General features: G+C 41.2%; 1 long non-coding RNA gene across 3 annotated transcripts in view, besides 3 other annotated features; it reads left to right on the top strand.

The window, feature by feature from the left end:
- The window catches only part of LOC105377529 (uncharacterized), a 55915-nt gene that overhangs the window by 35035 nt on the left and 4434 nt on the right, over window positions 1-16446 (top strand). For 2 of the 3 annotated variants that reach the window (XR_939437.3, XR_939436.3), the window contains exon 3: window positions 4737-4993. The exons of the other annotated variant lie outside the window; for it this stretch is intronic. This is a non-coding gene — a long non-coding RNA (uncharacterized LOC105377529). Of the gene's footprint in view, window positions 1-4736; window positions 4994-16446 lie in introns of those variants that run through there. 3 annotated transcript variants of the gene reach the window in all.
- Window positions 2616-2735: an enhancer, noted in NCBI's record as "active region_22134". NCBI's record gives its function as "activates an Ori minimal core promoter by ATAC-STARR-seq in GM12878 lymphoblastoid cells {active_cell/tissue: GM12878}" and the evidence as "EXISTENCE:reporter gene assay evidence [ECO:0000049][PMID:35858748]".
- Window positions 2746-2815: an enhancer, noted in NCBI's record as "active region_22133". NCBI's record gives its function as "activates an Ori minimal core promoter by ATAC-STARR-seq in GM12878 lymphoblastoid cells {active_cell/tissue: GM12878}" and the evidence as "EXISTENCE:reporter gene assay evidence [ECO:0000049][PMID:35858748]".
- Window positions 5641-5805: a silencer, noted in NCBI's record as "fragment chr4:170211490-170211654 (GRCh37/hg19 assembly coordinates)". NCBI's record gives its function as "represses an EF-1alpha promoter that drives an FKBP-Casp9 reporter gene in an ReSE screen in phorbol 12-myristate 13-acetate-treated (for megakaryocytic differentiation) K562 erythroleukemia cells {active_cell/tissue: K562(+PMA)}" and the evidence as "EXISTENCE:reporter gene assay evidence [ECO:0000049][PMID:32094911]".

Genomic DNA, 16446 nt, shown 5'->3' with positions numbered 1-16446 from the left:
AGGGCTTTGTGGAGAGTTTTTTTTTTGGTCATTTTTTTTTCTACATAGACAATCATGTCATCTGTGAACAAAGACAGTTCTATTTCTTTTTTTCCAATTGGTATACTTTTAGTTCCTTTTCTTGACTTATTGCATTAGGTGGGACTTCCATTATGATGCTGAAAAGCAGTAGTGAGAGAGGAGATGTCCTTGCCTTGTTGCTGATCTTAGTGGGAAAGCTTCTTGTTTCTCACCACTTAGTATGATGTTAGCTGTAGGTCTTTTGTAGATATTCTTTATCAAGTTGAGGAAGTTTCACTCTTTCCTACTTTATTGAGAGTCTTTATCATGAAATGGTCTTGGATCTTATCCAATGTTTCTTCTGCATCTGTTGATATAATCATATGATTTTTCTTCTTTGCTTGTTGATGTGATGGATTGCATTAACTGATTTTCAAATGTTGAATCAGTCTTACATACCTGGGATAGCTCCGATTTGGTTGTGGTATGTAATTCTTTTAATATAACATTGGATTTGATTTGCTAATATTTTAGGATTTTTGCAACCACATTCTTGAGAAATATTGGTCTGTAGTTTTCTTCTAATACCTTTGTCTGGTTTTGGTACTAGAATAATGCAGGCCTCGTAAAATGAGTTAAGAAGTAATCCCTCTGCTTCTATCTTTTGAAAGAGTTTGTAGAGAAGTGATATAATTTCCTTATTAAATGTTTGGTAGAATTCACTCATAAACCCATCTGGCCCTGGTGCTTTCTATTTTGAAAAGTTATTAATTAATTAATTCAATTTCTTCAAGAGGTATAGGCCTATTAAGATTGTTTCTTGTTGTATGACTTTTGGCAGACTGGATCTTTGAAGGAATTATCCCCATTTCATCTAGGTTATCAAATCTGTGGACACAGAGTTATTCAAAGTATTGCTTGATTATTCTTTTAATTTCTCTGGAATCTGTATGTATATATAATTGAATACATTGTTGCTATTATTATGTTGAACAAACTGTTGTTAGATAATTAAGAACAAGAAAAATAAAAATTTTCTTTCCCTTACTTATTCCTTCCTTGATGCTCTTCCTTTACTTATGTAGATGGTAGTTTCAGACCTGTATCATTTTTCTTCTCTCTGAAGATCTTCTTTTAACATTTCTGGCCAAGGATGTATACTGGCAACAATTTCCCTCAATTTCTGTCTGTCTGAGAAAGCTTTAATTTCTCCTCACCTTTTGAAGGATAATTTCACAGGGCACAGAATTCTAGGTTTGTGGTGTTTTTTTCCATCCACGCTAAGTATTTCATTCCACTTTCTACTTGCCTGCATGGTTTCTGAGAAGTCACATATAATTCTTATCTTTGCTCCTTTATAGGCAAAGTTTTTTCTCTCTGGCTTCTTTTAGGATATTTTTTCTTTACCTCTGATTTTCTAGTCTAAAAATGATATGCCTAGGTAGAGTTTTCTTTTGGAATTTATCTTGTTTTGTGTTCCCTGAGCTTTTTCAATCTATGGTTTGGTGACTGAAGACAATTTGGGGGAAATTCTCAATCATTGCTATTCAAATATTTCTTCTGTTCCTTTCTCTCATTCTTTTCCTTCTGGTGTTTCCATTTGTGTATGTCCCACTCTTTTCGGATATTCTGTTCTGGTTTTTTGTTTTTTTTTTCAGTCTTCTTTTTCTGTTTGCTCTTTAGTCTGGGAGGTTTCTACTGAGGTATCTTCAAGTTTACAGATTCTTTTTCGGCTGTGTGCAGTCTGCTAATAAGCCATCAGACACATTCTTCATTCTGATTACACTGCTTTTGAGCTCTAGCATTTATTTTTGGTTCTTTCTTGGGATTTCCATCCCTCTGCTTACATTGCCCATCTGTTCTTGCATGCTGTCTACTTTATCCATTACAGCCCTAAGCATGTTAATAATAGTTGTTTTAAATTTCCAGCCTAATAATTCCACCATCCCTGACATATTTTAGGCTGGTTCTCAGGCTTTCTCTGTCTCTTCAAACTACATTTTTGCCTTTCAATATGTCTTGTAATTTTTTCTTGATAGCTGGACATGAGGCACTGGTTAAAAGGAACTGCTGTCGATTAGCCTTTAGTAATGTGGTGGTATGGTGTTGGGGTGGGGAAGTGTTCTATAATTTCACAATTAGGTATCTGTTCTTTAGGCAGCCTGTGCCTCTGGACTGTGAACTTCACAGATGTGTCTCAGTTCCCACCCTGCACAGGTGGACTGAATGGCTAGAGTGGGTTGGAGTTGGGCATTTATTTTCCCTGGGTCAGTTAGGGTCTGATGAAACCCCAGCAGGTTAGGCTCTGGTTAAATAGTTTCTCCTGAGGGCAGGCATTGTTAAGAACACAGTTTTCTGGCGTATTTCAAAATGGTTCCTTTTCTCCTCCCCATGCCAGAAGGAGAGGATTCGTCTCCAATATTCACTGCGAGGAACTGTTTGAGCTCCTGGAGGGGGACTCAGTCCCCTGGAATATTTATTAATATCTCTCAAACTTGTCCACACTGAGCCTCCAGCAATTCATCAGTTGCAATTCAGGTTTCCCTTCCCCAACACAGGTTCCTGAGAGGTTTCAGCTTGTGGGTTTCCGCTCAGTTGCTCCATTATGGGGGCAGCGGTTTGCCCTGTGACTTCACTTCTCTTATGGATCTAAGAATAGAATTGTTGATTTTTCAGTTTGTTCTGCATTTTATTTGTGGTGGGAAACAGTAGCAACTTCTTATAAGCTAGACTGGAACCACAAGCCTATTTTTTAGTTTGGTTTTCTTTAGGTAGAATGAATGGAGGCAGGACAAAAGTGGGAATCCAAGTTTTGAAATGAGTTATTTTGAGACCTCAGGTGTCTGAATTTGAGCAGAGTGTATCGCATTCATTGGCCTTTTACATATATCCTATATCGTTATTCAGAGATTGGTTTGATTTCAACTTGGCCCTGGGGATATGAACCTAAATACGGTACATTTTGAGTGGGATCCCTGATGTGATCGGCCCTGAATGATCCTATCACATCTCAAATAAAAGTTGACTGGAAGGACTCAGATTGCCTCTCTTTGATCCCATCCTTAGGTTCTTCCGTTCCCTCCCGTGCGCTGTTTCGTCTGCGGCCCCCTCCCTTCTGGAGTTCTGTGCGTGTGCTCCGGTTGACCTGGCTCCTCTCCAGGCCTGCTGCACCGCTCATACTCGGGAACGGCCCCGCACTGTGCTCCCTGCCGGGATTGACTTTTTCTTAGTGCTCACATTTTCTTCTTTCTTGTTTTACTCTCTTGTTTGCTTGAGGACATCTTCACATTACCTATTCATAAAAATACTCGAGAAAGAGGATTTCTGAGGGTTTTCAGGTCTGGAAATATTTTTGCCCGTCTTCCTACTTAAATGATAGGTTAGCTGGCTCTAAGAATCATTTTCCTCACATATTCTACCACAGCTACCTAACGTGCACCTCTGTGTCTCCTTTTCCTCTCCCAGCTCCATGTAACTGTAACTCCTTCTCAAATGGAGCCTAGGAGGCAGAAGGAAGGGCATGCAGGGTTTTAGGTGCTGTGGGGATTCAATACAGAGAGGGCCTGTACTGGACCTGGGCCGGAGCATCCTTCAGGCCAGAGAGAGCTTGGGGCCTGAGAGGTACCTTGAGGCAAGGGTCAGAGCTCTGAGGTTACTGAAGAGAGCTTGGCCCATGGGATCCATAGACAAGAGAAAAGACAAGAAGGAGAACAACCCAGCTGATCAGTGCAGACCAATTTTTTTTTCTTTTTTTTGAGACAGTCTCTTTCTGTTGCCCAGGCTGGAGTTCAGTGGTGTGATCTCGGGCTCACTGATCCTCCGCCTCCAGGGTTCAAGTGATTCTCACGCCTCAGCCTCCCAAGTAGCTGGGGTTACAGGCAACTGCCACCACGCCCGGCTAATTTTTGTATTTTTAGTAGAGACGGGGGTTTTACAATGTTGGCCAAGATGGTCTTGAATTCCTGACCTCAAGTGATCCGCCCACCTCAGTCTCTCAAATTGCTGGGATTACAGGTATGAGCCAACACGCCTGGCCTTAGGGCAGCCAAATTTACCCAAAAGAGAGAAAGAACACACAGCTAAATTCCAACTTCACCAGCCTGGGCGACAAAGGGAAACCCCATCTCCACAAAAAATACAAAAATTAGCCAGGCATGGTGGTGCGTACCTATAATCCCAGCTACTCCAGGGAGCTGAGGATAAGGGATTGCTTGAGCCCAAGAGGTCAAGGCTGCTGTGAGTTCTGATTGCACTCCAGCACTCCAGCCTGGGTGACAGAGTGAGACCCTGTCTCAAAAACAAAACAAAACAAAAATTGAATTTTAGATCAATAATGAATAATTCTTTTTATGTAAGTCTGTCCCATGTAATATATTCTACCCAGCAACCCAGCCTACAGCTGACACAACTATACCTAGAAGGACTTGCTGGTCTCTCTGGCCCTCAAGGAGTGGCGAATGAAATAAGACTTTGTATCTTTGGCCAAGCTTGGTGGCTCACACCTGTAATCCCAGCACTTTAGGAGGCTGAGGCGGGTAGATTGCTTGAGTTCAGGAGTTTGAGAACAGCCTGGGCAACATGGCGAGACTCCATCTCAATTATTTTTAAAATTTAAACAAAAAAAAAAGACTTTGTATCTTTACAACTAAGAGAAAATTAACCTTTGTAGCTAAGGAAACTGGGGAGCAGAGAAGATAAGATAAGCATTTTCCAGCTGAGGACTTGTCTGTCTACAGGATCAGAGACCATGGAGCCTCCTGTACTCAAGAGATAGCTGCTGCTGAAGACCTGGCCCCAGGTGAATAACATAGGCAAAGGAACAACAAAGCCAGAATGGGGAAGAGTGAGCAGAGCATCCAGAAATGGCGGTTGCCAGCAAAATAGAACTGCTGAAAAAGGGCATGGCAACTTGAACAGAAAAAGTAATTAGTGCAATTGAGGAGCTTCAATTACAGCGTTAAACTGGAACTCAAGAACATGATTTTTTAAGTTTAAAAATATAGCAGATGTACTGAAAAAGTGTATGGTAACTATTGAGAAGTGAACAGAGGTCTGGAAGTACAAGGGAAAGAAATCTCTCAAAAAAGCAAACATTTAAAGTCAGACATCAAAAAAGCAAATATAAAGGAACCAGAAGATGGATCTAGAAGTTGTAACTTGTAAATAAATAGGAATTTCAGAAGAGTAAAGCAATCGAAGGAGGAGAGACAATATTTAAACAAACAGGTGAAGAAAATTTTACAGAGCTAAAGAAAGAGTTTCATCCTCAGAATTCTTTGAGTTTCAAGGAACAGGGGATGAAAACCGGAACACACTAGAGATTCCATTACTGTGTTGTAATTCCAAGGGTAATGACAAAGTTCTACAGTCTTCTAGATAGAAAGAACAAATTGTTTACATAGAAAAAGATTAAGACTGGCTTTAGATTTCTAACTACAACTTTAATATCAGAAAGTAGTAGGATAATAACTAGTGGCAACTGACGGTGTGATTTAAAAATCAAAACCCAAACACATATTACTTAAGAAACCCACGTTAGGCCAGGCACTGTGGCTCACACCTGTAATCGTAGCATTTTGGGAGGCTGAGGCGGGCGGATCACTGGAGATCAGGAGTTCAAGACCAGCCTGGCCAACATGGCAAAACCCTGTCTCTACTAAAAATACAAAAATTAGCTGGGCGTGGTGGCACATGCCTGTAATCCCAGCTACTCAGGAGGCTGAGGCAGGAGAATCACTTGGACCCAGGAGGCAGAGGTTGCAGTGAGCCCAGATCATGTCATTGCACTCCAGCCTGGGTGATAGAGGGAGACTCCGCCTCAAACAAACAAACAAACAAACAAAAGAAACTCACTTTAAACAAAGTGAGAAAGAAAAGTTAAACTTCAGAGGATATGTAAAAAGATACTGCCGGGCACGGTGGCTCACGCCTGTAATCCTAGCACTTTGGGAGGCCAAGGCGGGTGGATCACCTGAGGTTAGGAGTTCGAAACCAGCCTGGCCAACATGGTGAAACCCCTTCTCTACTAAAAATACAAAAAAATTATACAGGTGTGGTGCAGGCACCTGTAATCCCAGCTCCTTGGGAGGCTGAAGCAGGAGAATCGCTTGAAGGCAGACGTTGCAGTGAGCTGAAATCGTGCCACTGCACTCCAGCCTGGGCAACAGAGCGAGACTCCATCTCAAAAAAAAAAAAAGATCCACCAGATAAATATAAATCAAAAGAAGTCAAGTCTAGCGGTCCTATTAGCGGTCCAAACAGCATGCATATTAATATGTAATGACAAAAGGCAAATTGATAACAGAGGTATAACAATCATAAGTCATGTTCACCAATCATTGTAGTAGCTAAACATATAAAGCATAATCTTTATGTTAGGAGATTTTAACACACCTTTTTCAGACTCACATATATCTAACAGACAAAATAAATAGAAACAGAAGAATAGAATAAAACAAACAACAAATTTGACCTAAAACATGTATGGAATGTTACATTTCATAACTATATTTCTTTTGTGTTTTAATGGAACATTTACAAAAGTTAATCTTGTTTTTGTTTCCAAAGGATATCTAAGTCAATATACAGGAGTAGAGATTTTATAGGCCACATTCCCTGATTATAATCCAAAAAAGAAAATAAAAGGAGTAAGTAATGAAAAGGGATACCCCTCAAAAAACCCTCTAATTACTTGAAAATTAAGAAAAAATATTCTAGGCCAGGTGCGGTGGCTCACTCCTATTATCCCAGCACTTTGGGAGGCTGAGGTGGATGGATCACTTGAGGCCAGGAGTTTGAGACCAGCCTGGGCAACATAGTGAAACCCCATCTTTACTAATACAGAAAGAAAAAAAGAAAAAAAAAATTAGCTGTGTGTGGTGGTGCGTGCTTGCAGTCCCAGCTACTTGGGAGGCTGAGGCATGAGAATAGCTGGAACCCAGGAGGCAGAGGTTGCAGTGAGCTGAGATTGTGCCACTGTACTCCAACCTGGGTGACAGAGCGAGACTCTGTCTCAAAAAAAAAAAGAAGAAAGAAACAATATTCTAAATAACTCTTATCAAAATGTAAACAAAACTGAAATTACAAACCATATACAAAGCAATGAGGAAAAAGTTCATACCAAAATATACACAACATAGTTCAAATTATTCCTATGGGAATTCATAGCCTTAAATATTTTATTATTAAGGAAAAAATTTAGGCCAGGCACAGTGGCTCACCCCTGTAATCCCAGCACTTCGGGAGGCCAAGGCAGGCAGATCACTTGAGGTCAGGAGTTTGAGACCAGCTTGGCCAGTATGGTGAAACCCTGCCTCTTCAACAAATACAAAAATTAGCCAGGCATGATGGTTGAACCAGGAGTCAGAGGTTGCGGTGAGTCGAGATCGTGCCACTGCACTCCAGCCTGGGTGACAGAGTGAGACTCTGTCTCAAAAAAAAAGGAAAAAAAGTTAAAAAATATTTAAGGTCCAGTTAAAAAATTTAGAACAAGAACACCAAAATAAACAAAACATAAATTTGGAAGAGAGAATAAAGATGAAAATTAATGAACAGAAAACAAAGTATAAAGGGGAAATAAATCTAAAAGCTGATTCTTATGTAAGACTCCCCCAAAGAGATAAAATTTCAGGGAAATCTCCAAAGGCTCAACTGCCGCACACCAAGAAAGAACTAGAATTTGAAAATGTGATGTGAGAGAGGTCATATGACAGGCAAGAGAAAAGTGCAAACAGTGCTGCTGGCGTGCCTTCTTCCCCGCCCCCACACTGCCCACCCCAACTCTGGAGGAGCCTTGTGGGGGTGATATGGTTTGGCTCTGTGTCCCAACCCAAATCTCATCTCTAATTTGTAATCCCCATGTGTAGAGGGAGGGAGGTGACTGGATCGGGGGGCAGTTTCCCCATGCTGTTCTCATGATAGTGAGTGAGTTCTCATGTGATCTGGTGGTTTTACAAGGGGCTCTTCCCCCTTCGCTTTCTCCTGCCACCTTGTGAAGAAGGTGTCTGCTTCCCCTTCCACCATGATTATAAGTTTCCTGAGGCCTCCCCAGCCATGCAGAACTGTGAGTCAATTAAACTTCCTTCCTTTATAAATTACCCAGTCTCGGGTAGTATCTTTATAGCAGTGTGAAAACAGACTAATACAGGGGGGCAGGTAGGTAACAGGAGCAATCAGACCCCTCCTAGCCAGTGGCATGGAAGGTAGTGAATCAGGCCTGAGCTAGGGAGAGAGGATAAACTTTGAATTGGATGAGATACTGAGGTTTTACTTTAGGTTGGATGGAACTACATAATCTAAAAATGGTAGTGTTGTTAGAATCTGAAGTGACTGAAAAACTCATGGGATCTATCGGAAAAGTCACCAAGAGCAAGGAAAATGTTTCTGACAAAAAATGCTTGAGGCAAGAGTGGAAGAAAACAAAGCTGTTCCCTGACTACACCCTATTAAGCCCGGCTAAGTCAATAAGCCTGTTGTTACACCTGTGTTTCTGGCTATCATTTTCCTTCACTGGACTGGGAGAAATTAAGCATCAAAATTATGAATTAATGATAGTAACACATATAGTCCTTTGAAGGAAATTAAGAACCATGAGTACATATTGGTACATATAAATATATGAATAAATTAAAAGTTTGATAAGAGAGTATTTACTTAGTTTCAAAGTACTTCCTGAAAGAATACTAGAGAAAGAAAACATAAATTCATGCTGGAGAAGAAGAAAAGACATCATCTTAAATAAGCTATCAAATTGGACAACAAATCCAAGGCATGTGCCATCTGACACGAGGAATACAATGTTGCTTCTTGCTTCATTGAATTTTTTTCCAAAGGTGCATAATTTGAATCTAATAATGAGGAATATTTTCAAACCCAAATTCTACAATATATCTGGCCTATAAACTTAAAAAGAATTCAAGAATGAGAAATAATTTCCAAGTTGAAGAAAATTAAAGACACATGAGAAAGAAATGCAATGTGTGCTTCTGAATGGGATGGCTTTTTTCTCTTAAAGCAGGGGTCCCCTACCCCTAGGGGCCATCACTGGTACTGTGTCACACAGCAGGAGTTGAGTGGCGGGCAAGCAAGCTAAACTTCTGTATTTACAGCTGCTCCCCATCACTTGCATTACCTCCTGAGCTCCACCTCCTGCCAGATCAGCAGTGACATTAGATTCTCATAGGAGCATGAACCCTATTGTGAACTGTGCATGCGAAGGATCTAGGTTGTGCACTAGGTTATGAGAATCTAATGCCCGATGATCTGTCACTATCTCCCATCACCCACAGATGGAACTGTCCAGCTGCAGGAAAACAGGTTCAGGGTTCCCACTGATTCTTATGGTGAGTTGCATAATTATTTCTCCTACTGATTCTTATGGTGAGTTGCATAATTATTTCATCATATATTACAATGTAATAATAATAGAAATAGAGTGCATGATAAATATAATGCACTTGAATCATCCTGAAACCACCCCCTCACCCCTGGTCTGTGGAAAAATTGTCTTCCATGAAACCAGTCCCTGGTGCCAAAAAGTTTGGGGACTACTGATCTAGAGGATATTATTGGGGATTATTATTATTATTAGCAAAATTTACTGATCACAATATATGAATGTTAATGTCCCAATTTTGATGGTTGTATTGTGGTTATGTAGGAGAATGTCTGTGAGATGCCAGGGCATCACATTGGCAAATTATTCTGAGATGGCTCAGGAAAATAAAAGTTCTTTATATTGTACTAGCAACTTTTCTGTAAGTTTGAAAGTGTTTCAAAATTGTTTAAAATTAAAAAGTTATAGAGAAAGTGAAAAGACTATTTACCAACTGGGAAAAGTATTAGCAATGCAAATATCAGATAAGTGGTTAACTTTTTAACATACAAAAAGCCCTTATTAAACTGAGGAGATAAACACTAATCAATTCACGGGTGGGCACAGTGGCTCATGCCTGTAATTCCAGCACTTTGGAAGGCCGAAGTGGGCAGAACACTTAAGCCCAGGAGTTCCAGACCAACCTGGGCAACATGGCAAACCCCAGCTCTACCAAAAATACACACACACAAAATTGGCCAGGCAGCATGGTAGCGCGGCCTGTGGTCCCAGCTACTTGGGAGGCTGAGGTCAGAGGATCGCTGGAGCCCGGGAGGCAGAGGGTGCAGTGAGCTGAGATCATGCCACTGCACTCCAGCCTGGGTGACAGAGCGGACCCTGTCTCAAAAAAAAAAAAGACTGATCAATTCAACTAAGAGAAAACCCAACTGACAAATAAACTAATTAAAAGAGATTACTAGTAGTCAGGAAAAAATGCAATTTAAAATACTGGCCAAGCATGGTGGCTCATGCGTGTAATCCCAGCACTTTGGGAGGCTGAGATGGGCGGATCGCTGGAGGCCAGGAGTTGAGACCAGCCTGGGCAACACGGTGAAACTCCGTCTCTACTAAGATTACAAAAATTAGCCTGGCAGTAGTGCACGCCTGTAATACCAGCTACTTGGGAAGCTGAGGCAAGAGAATCGCTTGAACCCAGGAGGTTGCACTGAGCAGAGATCATGCCACTGGACTCCAGCCTGGGTGACAGAGCAAGACTCTGCCCCAATATATATATTGGCCGGGCGCGGTGGCTCACACCTATAATCCCAACACTTTGGGAGGCTGAGGCAGGCAGATCACCTGAGGTCAGGAGTTTGAGACCAGCCTGGCCAACATGGTAAAACCCCATATCTACTAAAAATACAAAATTAGGTGGGCATGGTGGCGCATGCCTATAATCCCAGCTACTCAGGAGGCTGAGGCAGGAGAATCACTTAAACCTGGGAGGCAGAGGTTACAGCGAGCTAAGATCGCGCCATTGCACCCCAACCTGGGCAACAAGAGCAAAACTCTGTCTCAAAATAAATAAATAAATAAATAAACACACACACACACACACACACACACACACACACACACGTATATAACCACACATACATACATATATACACATATATATAATATGTACATATATGTATATCAGATATCATGAGGCACCTACCAAAGTAATACAAATGTAAAAGCACAACAGCCAGCAAGGGTGATTTGGGAATGTGGAATGGATACTTTCATGCTTTCATGATAGATATCTGAATGTTCCATTTTTGTGGTATGAAATGTGGCAACATCCATTAGGAATACGCATTCCCCTTGACCAGCAAATTCCATCCTGAAGAATCCATTCTCTACGTAAGGATATAGAAACAGGAATGTTTATTGCAGCTTTGTTTTTCATAGCAAAAAACAAAATAATGAATGACTACTAACAGCAAAATGATTGCGGGCTGGGGGTGTGGCTCATGCCTGTAATCCCAGCACTTTGGGAGGCTGTGGCAGTAGGATGCTTGATCCCAGGAGTTTAAGACCAGCCTGGGAAACATAGTGAGACTCCATCTCTACCAATAAAAAATAAAAATAAAAAAAAAATGCTGGGTACGGTGGTGTGTGCCTCCCATGGTGGAAAGGCTGAGGTGGGAAGATTGCTTGAGCCTGGGAGATCAGGGCTGCAGTGAGCCATGAGTTGTGATAGTGCCACTGCACTCCAGCCTGGGAGACAGAGTGAGAAAGAAAAAAAAGAAAAGAAAATTAAGAAAGAAAAAGAAAAGAAAAATGATTGGGATACAATCATCTCATGGAAAACTATGCAGCCATTAGAATAAGTCAGCTCTATGCCAGTTGACTGAATAGGATTCTTACAATATATAGTTTTAGAGAGGAAAAGCAAGATGCAGAGAAATGTATATGTATAAAACAGAATCCTTTTTTTTTAATTTTTTTTAGAGACAGGGTCTCACTGTCTCATCCAGGCTGGAGTGCAGTGGTGTGATCATAGCTCACTGCAGCCTCAAACTCCTGGGCTCAAGCAATCCTCCCACCTCAGCCTCCTGAGTAGCTAGGACTACTGGCGCACACCACCATGTCTGGCTAATTAAAAAAAATTTTTTTTTGTAGAGATAGAGTCTTGCTATGTTTCCCAGGCTGGTCTCAAACTCCTGGTCTCAAGCAATTCTCCTGCCTCAGCCTCCCAAAGCACTGGGAATTATAGAATTGAGTCACTGTGCCTAGCTGAATCCTCTTTTTTTCTTTATATGTACATATGCTTTATAAATGGTTACATGAGCATGTAGAAAGATAGGAAAGCAAGCCACATAGCCATTACATTGGTTAGGAGGGAATGATGGATACAGGTAAGAAAAAGGAGATGAAGTCCAGGCACGGTGGGTCAAGCCTGTAATCCCAGCACTTTGGGAGGCCGAGGTGGGCAGATCAAAAGGTCAGGAGATCAAGACCATCCTGGCTAACACGGTGAAACCCCGTCTTTACTAAAAATACAAAAAAATTAGCCTGGCGTGGTGGCGGGCGCCTGTAGTCCCAGCTACTGGGGAGGCTGAGGCAGGAGAATGGTGTGAACCCGGGAGGCAGAGCTTGCAGTGAGCGGAGATTGCACCACTGCACTCCAGCCTGGGCGACAGAGCGAGACTCCATCTCAAAAAAAAAAAAAAAAAAAGAAAAGAAAAAGGAGATGAAGAACTTTGATGGTATTGTTGCATTTTGACTAATTTCTATCACTCTACTCACAAGTCTTACGATATAGGTTAATTGATTACTGAGATGCTAGCAGTGTGGATAAACTAAGTGAGAAAGACTGCTACTGTGGAAACAGTGAGAAGAAATCGTCTGCTGCCAAGCCTCAAGTAATAAGGCTGGATCTGAGAAAACCAGCAGTTGGAAGCAAGACAAGTGACTAACATGCTCAGAAAAAAAAATGTGAGAACGGAGGTCCAAGAAGAATTAAAGATAAAATCTACAGGGAAAGATTATTTACCAAAAGTGGGTGAAGAGGTGGTGAGTAGGAGAGGAGGATTCCAAACGTAAGAGTCAAGCATCAGAGGATGGCACAGGCCAAGAATGTGTAAAGACTTAGGATCAGGTTCTTACAATGAGAATCACGTCAATGAAATCTGGGTCTGGAGCTCAGCAATATCAGAGAAGTAAAGGTGCTGGCAAAGCAGTATGGTTGGAGTGGGCCCTCCAAAACTCTTCCTCCTATATGGCACTTCCAAACCCTCACCATTAAAGGTTTGGGCGGCTTCTGATGGCTGTAAAAAGAGAAGAAAGAGAAAACAAAAGAAAAGTTTCTAAGTACAGTCATGCATAGCTTAACAACAGTGATATGTTCTGAGAAATGTGTCACTGGTGATTTCATCTTTGTGCAAACATCATAGAGTACCCTTACACAAATGTAGAAGGTATAGCCTACTACACATCTAGGCTATATGGTTTAGCCTATTGCTCCTAGGCTACAAATCTGTACAGCATGTTACTGTACTCAATACTGCAGGCAACTGTGACACAGTGGTAAATACCTGTGTATCTAAACAGAAAAGACACAGTAAAAATAGGGTATAAAAGATTTTTTAAGTGGTACACCTGTCTAGGGACAATTACCGTGATTGGAGCTTGCAGGATTGGAAGCTGCTCTGAGTGAGTCAGTGAGTGAGTGGTGGGTGAGTGTGAAGGCCTAGGACATTACTGTACACCACTGTAGACTTTATAAACACTGTACACTTAAACTACACTAAATTTATAAAAAAAATTTATTTCTCCAATAGTATAGTAATCTTTGCTTACTGTAACTTTTCTACTTTATAAACTCTTTAAAAATCTCTTTACTCCTTTGCAATAATACAGCTTAAAACACAAACACATTGTACAGCTATACAAAAATATTTTATTTATATCCTTACTCTACAAGCTTTTCTCTATTAAATTTTTTTATTTTATTATAGATTCAGGGAGTACCTGCGCATGCTTGTCACATGGGTATATGTGTACTGGTGCAGTTTAAACTTCTAGAGTACCTATTACCCAAATGGTGAGCATTGTACTCAACAGATACTTTTTAAATCCCTGCTCCTCATCCACCTTCCCTCCTTTTGGAGTCCCCAATGTCTATAATTTCCACCTTTATTTCCATGTGTACTTATTGTTTAGCTCCCACTTATGAATGAGAACATGTGGTATTAGGTTTTCTGTTTCTGAGTTCACTTGGGTTAATGGCCTCAAGCTCCATCCATGTTGCTGCAAAAGACATGATTTCATTCTTTAATATTTTTTTTTTCATTTTAAACTTCTTTGTTAAAAATGAAGACATAGGCTGTGCGCGGTGGCTCATGCCTGTAATCCCAGCACTTTGGGAGGCCAAGGCAGGTGGATCACAAGGTCAAGAGATTGAGACCATCCTGGCCAACATGGTGAAACCCCGTCTCTACTAAAAATACAAAAATTAGCTGGGTGTGGTGGCCCATGCCTGTAGTCCCAGCTACTCAGGAGGCTGAGGCAGGAGAATTGCTTGAACCAGGGAGGCGGAGGTTGCAGTGGGCCGAGATTGTGCCACTGCGCTCCAGCCTGGGCGACAGAGAAAGACTCCCATCTAAAAAAAAATAATTAAAAAAAAAAGACATAAGCACACACATTAGCCTAGGCCTACACGCTGTCAGGATCATCAGCATCACTGTCTTTCACCTCCGTATCTTGTCTTACTGGAAGGTTTTCAGGGGTAATAGCACACATGGAGCTGTCATCTCCTATGATAACAATGTCTTCTTCAGGAATGCCTCCTGAAGGACCTGCCTGAAGCTGTTTCACAGTTAGTTTTGTTTTTAATAAGTAGGAGTACACTCTAAAATAATGATTAAAAAGTATAGTAGAGGAAATACATAATCCAGGAACATAATCATTTATTACCATTAGCAAGTATTCTGTACCATACATAACTGTATATGCTATGCTGTTATACCACTGGCAGCACAATAGGCTTGTTTCCACCAGCATCACCAGAAACATGTGATTAACACGTTGCACTATGACTTTATGACGGCTACAACTTCACTAGGCAACAGGAATTTTACAGCTCCATTATAATTCTGTGAGACCACCATCATATATGCAGTGTGTTGTTGATGGAAAAGTCACTCTGTGGCATGACTGTGCAAGATTTAAAAATATAGAATTCTAGTGTTATCAAGAGAAAACTGCTACTAAAAGCCTCAAGGCAAAATAATCATGGCAATACCAACACTAATACTAATAATACCAGGACTGGTTAAGCTTTACTGAGTTCTAAGTCCCATGTAAATACACTAAGCACTCGAATGTATTACCTCTTTTGGCTGGGCGCAGTGCCTCACGCCTGTAATCCCAGCACTTTGGGAGGCAGAGGCTGGCAGATCACTTGAGGTCAGGAGTTTGAGACCAGCCTGGCCAACATGGTGAAACCCCCATCTCTACTAAAGATACAAAAATTAGCCAGGGGTGATGGTGCACACCTGTAATCCCAGCTACTTAGGAGGTTGAGGCAGGAGAATTGTTTGAACCCAGGAGGCGGAGGTTGCAGTGAACCGAGATCACACCACTGCACTCCAGCCTGGGTGACAGAGCAAGACTCTGTCTCAAAATAAATAAATAAAAATTAAAACAAACAAACAAACAAATGTATTATCTGTTTTAAGCTTCACGACAACCTATGAGGTAGATACCATTATCTCCATTTTACAGACAATGAAACTAAGGCTCATATCTTAGTTTCTTAAGATAGTTTCTAAGGCTTAAATATCTTTCTTTTTTGTTTTTGAGATGGAGTTTCACACTTGTCGCCCAGGCTGGAGTGCAGTGGCGCGATCTCGGCTCACTGCAACCTCTGCCTCCCAGGTTCAAGTAATTCTCCTGCCTCAGCCTACCTAGTGGCTGGGTTTAGCGGCATGTGCAACCACACCCGGCTAATTTTGTATTTTTAATAGAGACAGGGTTTCTCCATGTTGGTCAGGCTGGTCTCCATCTCCCAACCTTAGTTGATCCACGTGCCTCAGCCTCCCAAAGTGCTGGGATTACAGGCATGAGCCACCGCGCCTGGTGGTTAAATATCTTTCTTAAAGTCACATAAGTAGAAATTTTGAGCCAGGATTCAAACCCAAGTCTGTCTGACTCTATAGTCTTAACTACTACATTTGTACAGTAACTGATGTTTATAATGATGGCTCACAGTCATCTGTAAATGTTAATTTTTTCAATGTCTTCTATTTCAAAAGTCAGTGATACATACTATATATATATTATATATATATATAATTTTATTTATTTACTTATTTATTTATGTTTTTTGAGACAGAGTCTTGCTCTGTTGCCCAGGCTGGAGTGCAGTGGTGCAATCTCAGTTCACTGCAACCTCTGCCTCCCGGATTCCAATGATTCTCTTGCCTCAGCCTCCCGAGTAGCTGGGATTACAGGCATGTACCACCAGGCCTGGCTAATTTTTTTTGTATTTTCAGTAGAGAGGGAATTTCATTATGTTGACAAGTCTGGTCTCAAACTCTTGACCTCAACTGATCTGCCTGCCTCAGCCTTCCAAAGTGCTG

This window comes from Homo sapiens, chromosome 4 (genome assembly GCF_000001405.40).
Source record: "Homo sapiens chromosome 4, GRCh38.p14 Primary Assembly".
Taxonomy (NCBI): Eukaryota; Metazoa; Chordata; class Mammalia; order Primates; family Hominidae; genus Homo; species Homo sapiens.
This window is presented reverse-complemented; position numbering and strand designations above follow the sequence as displayed.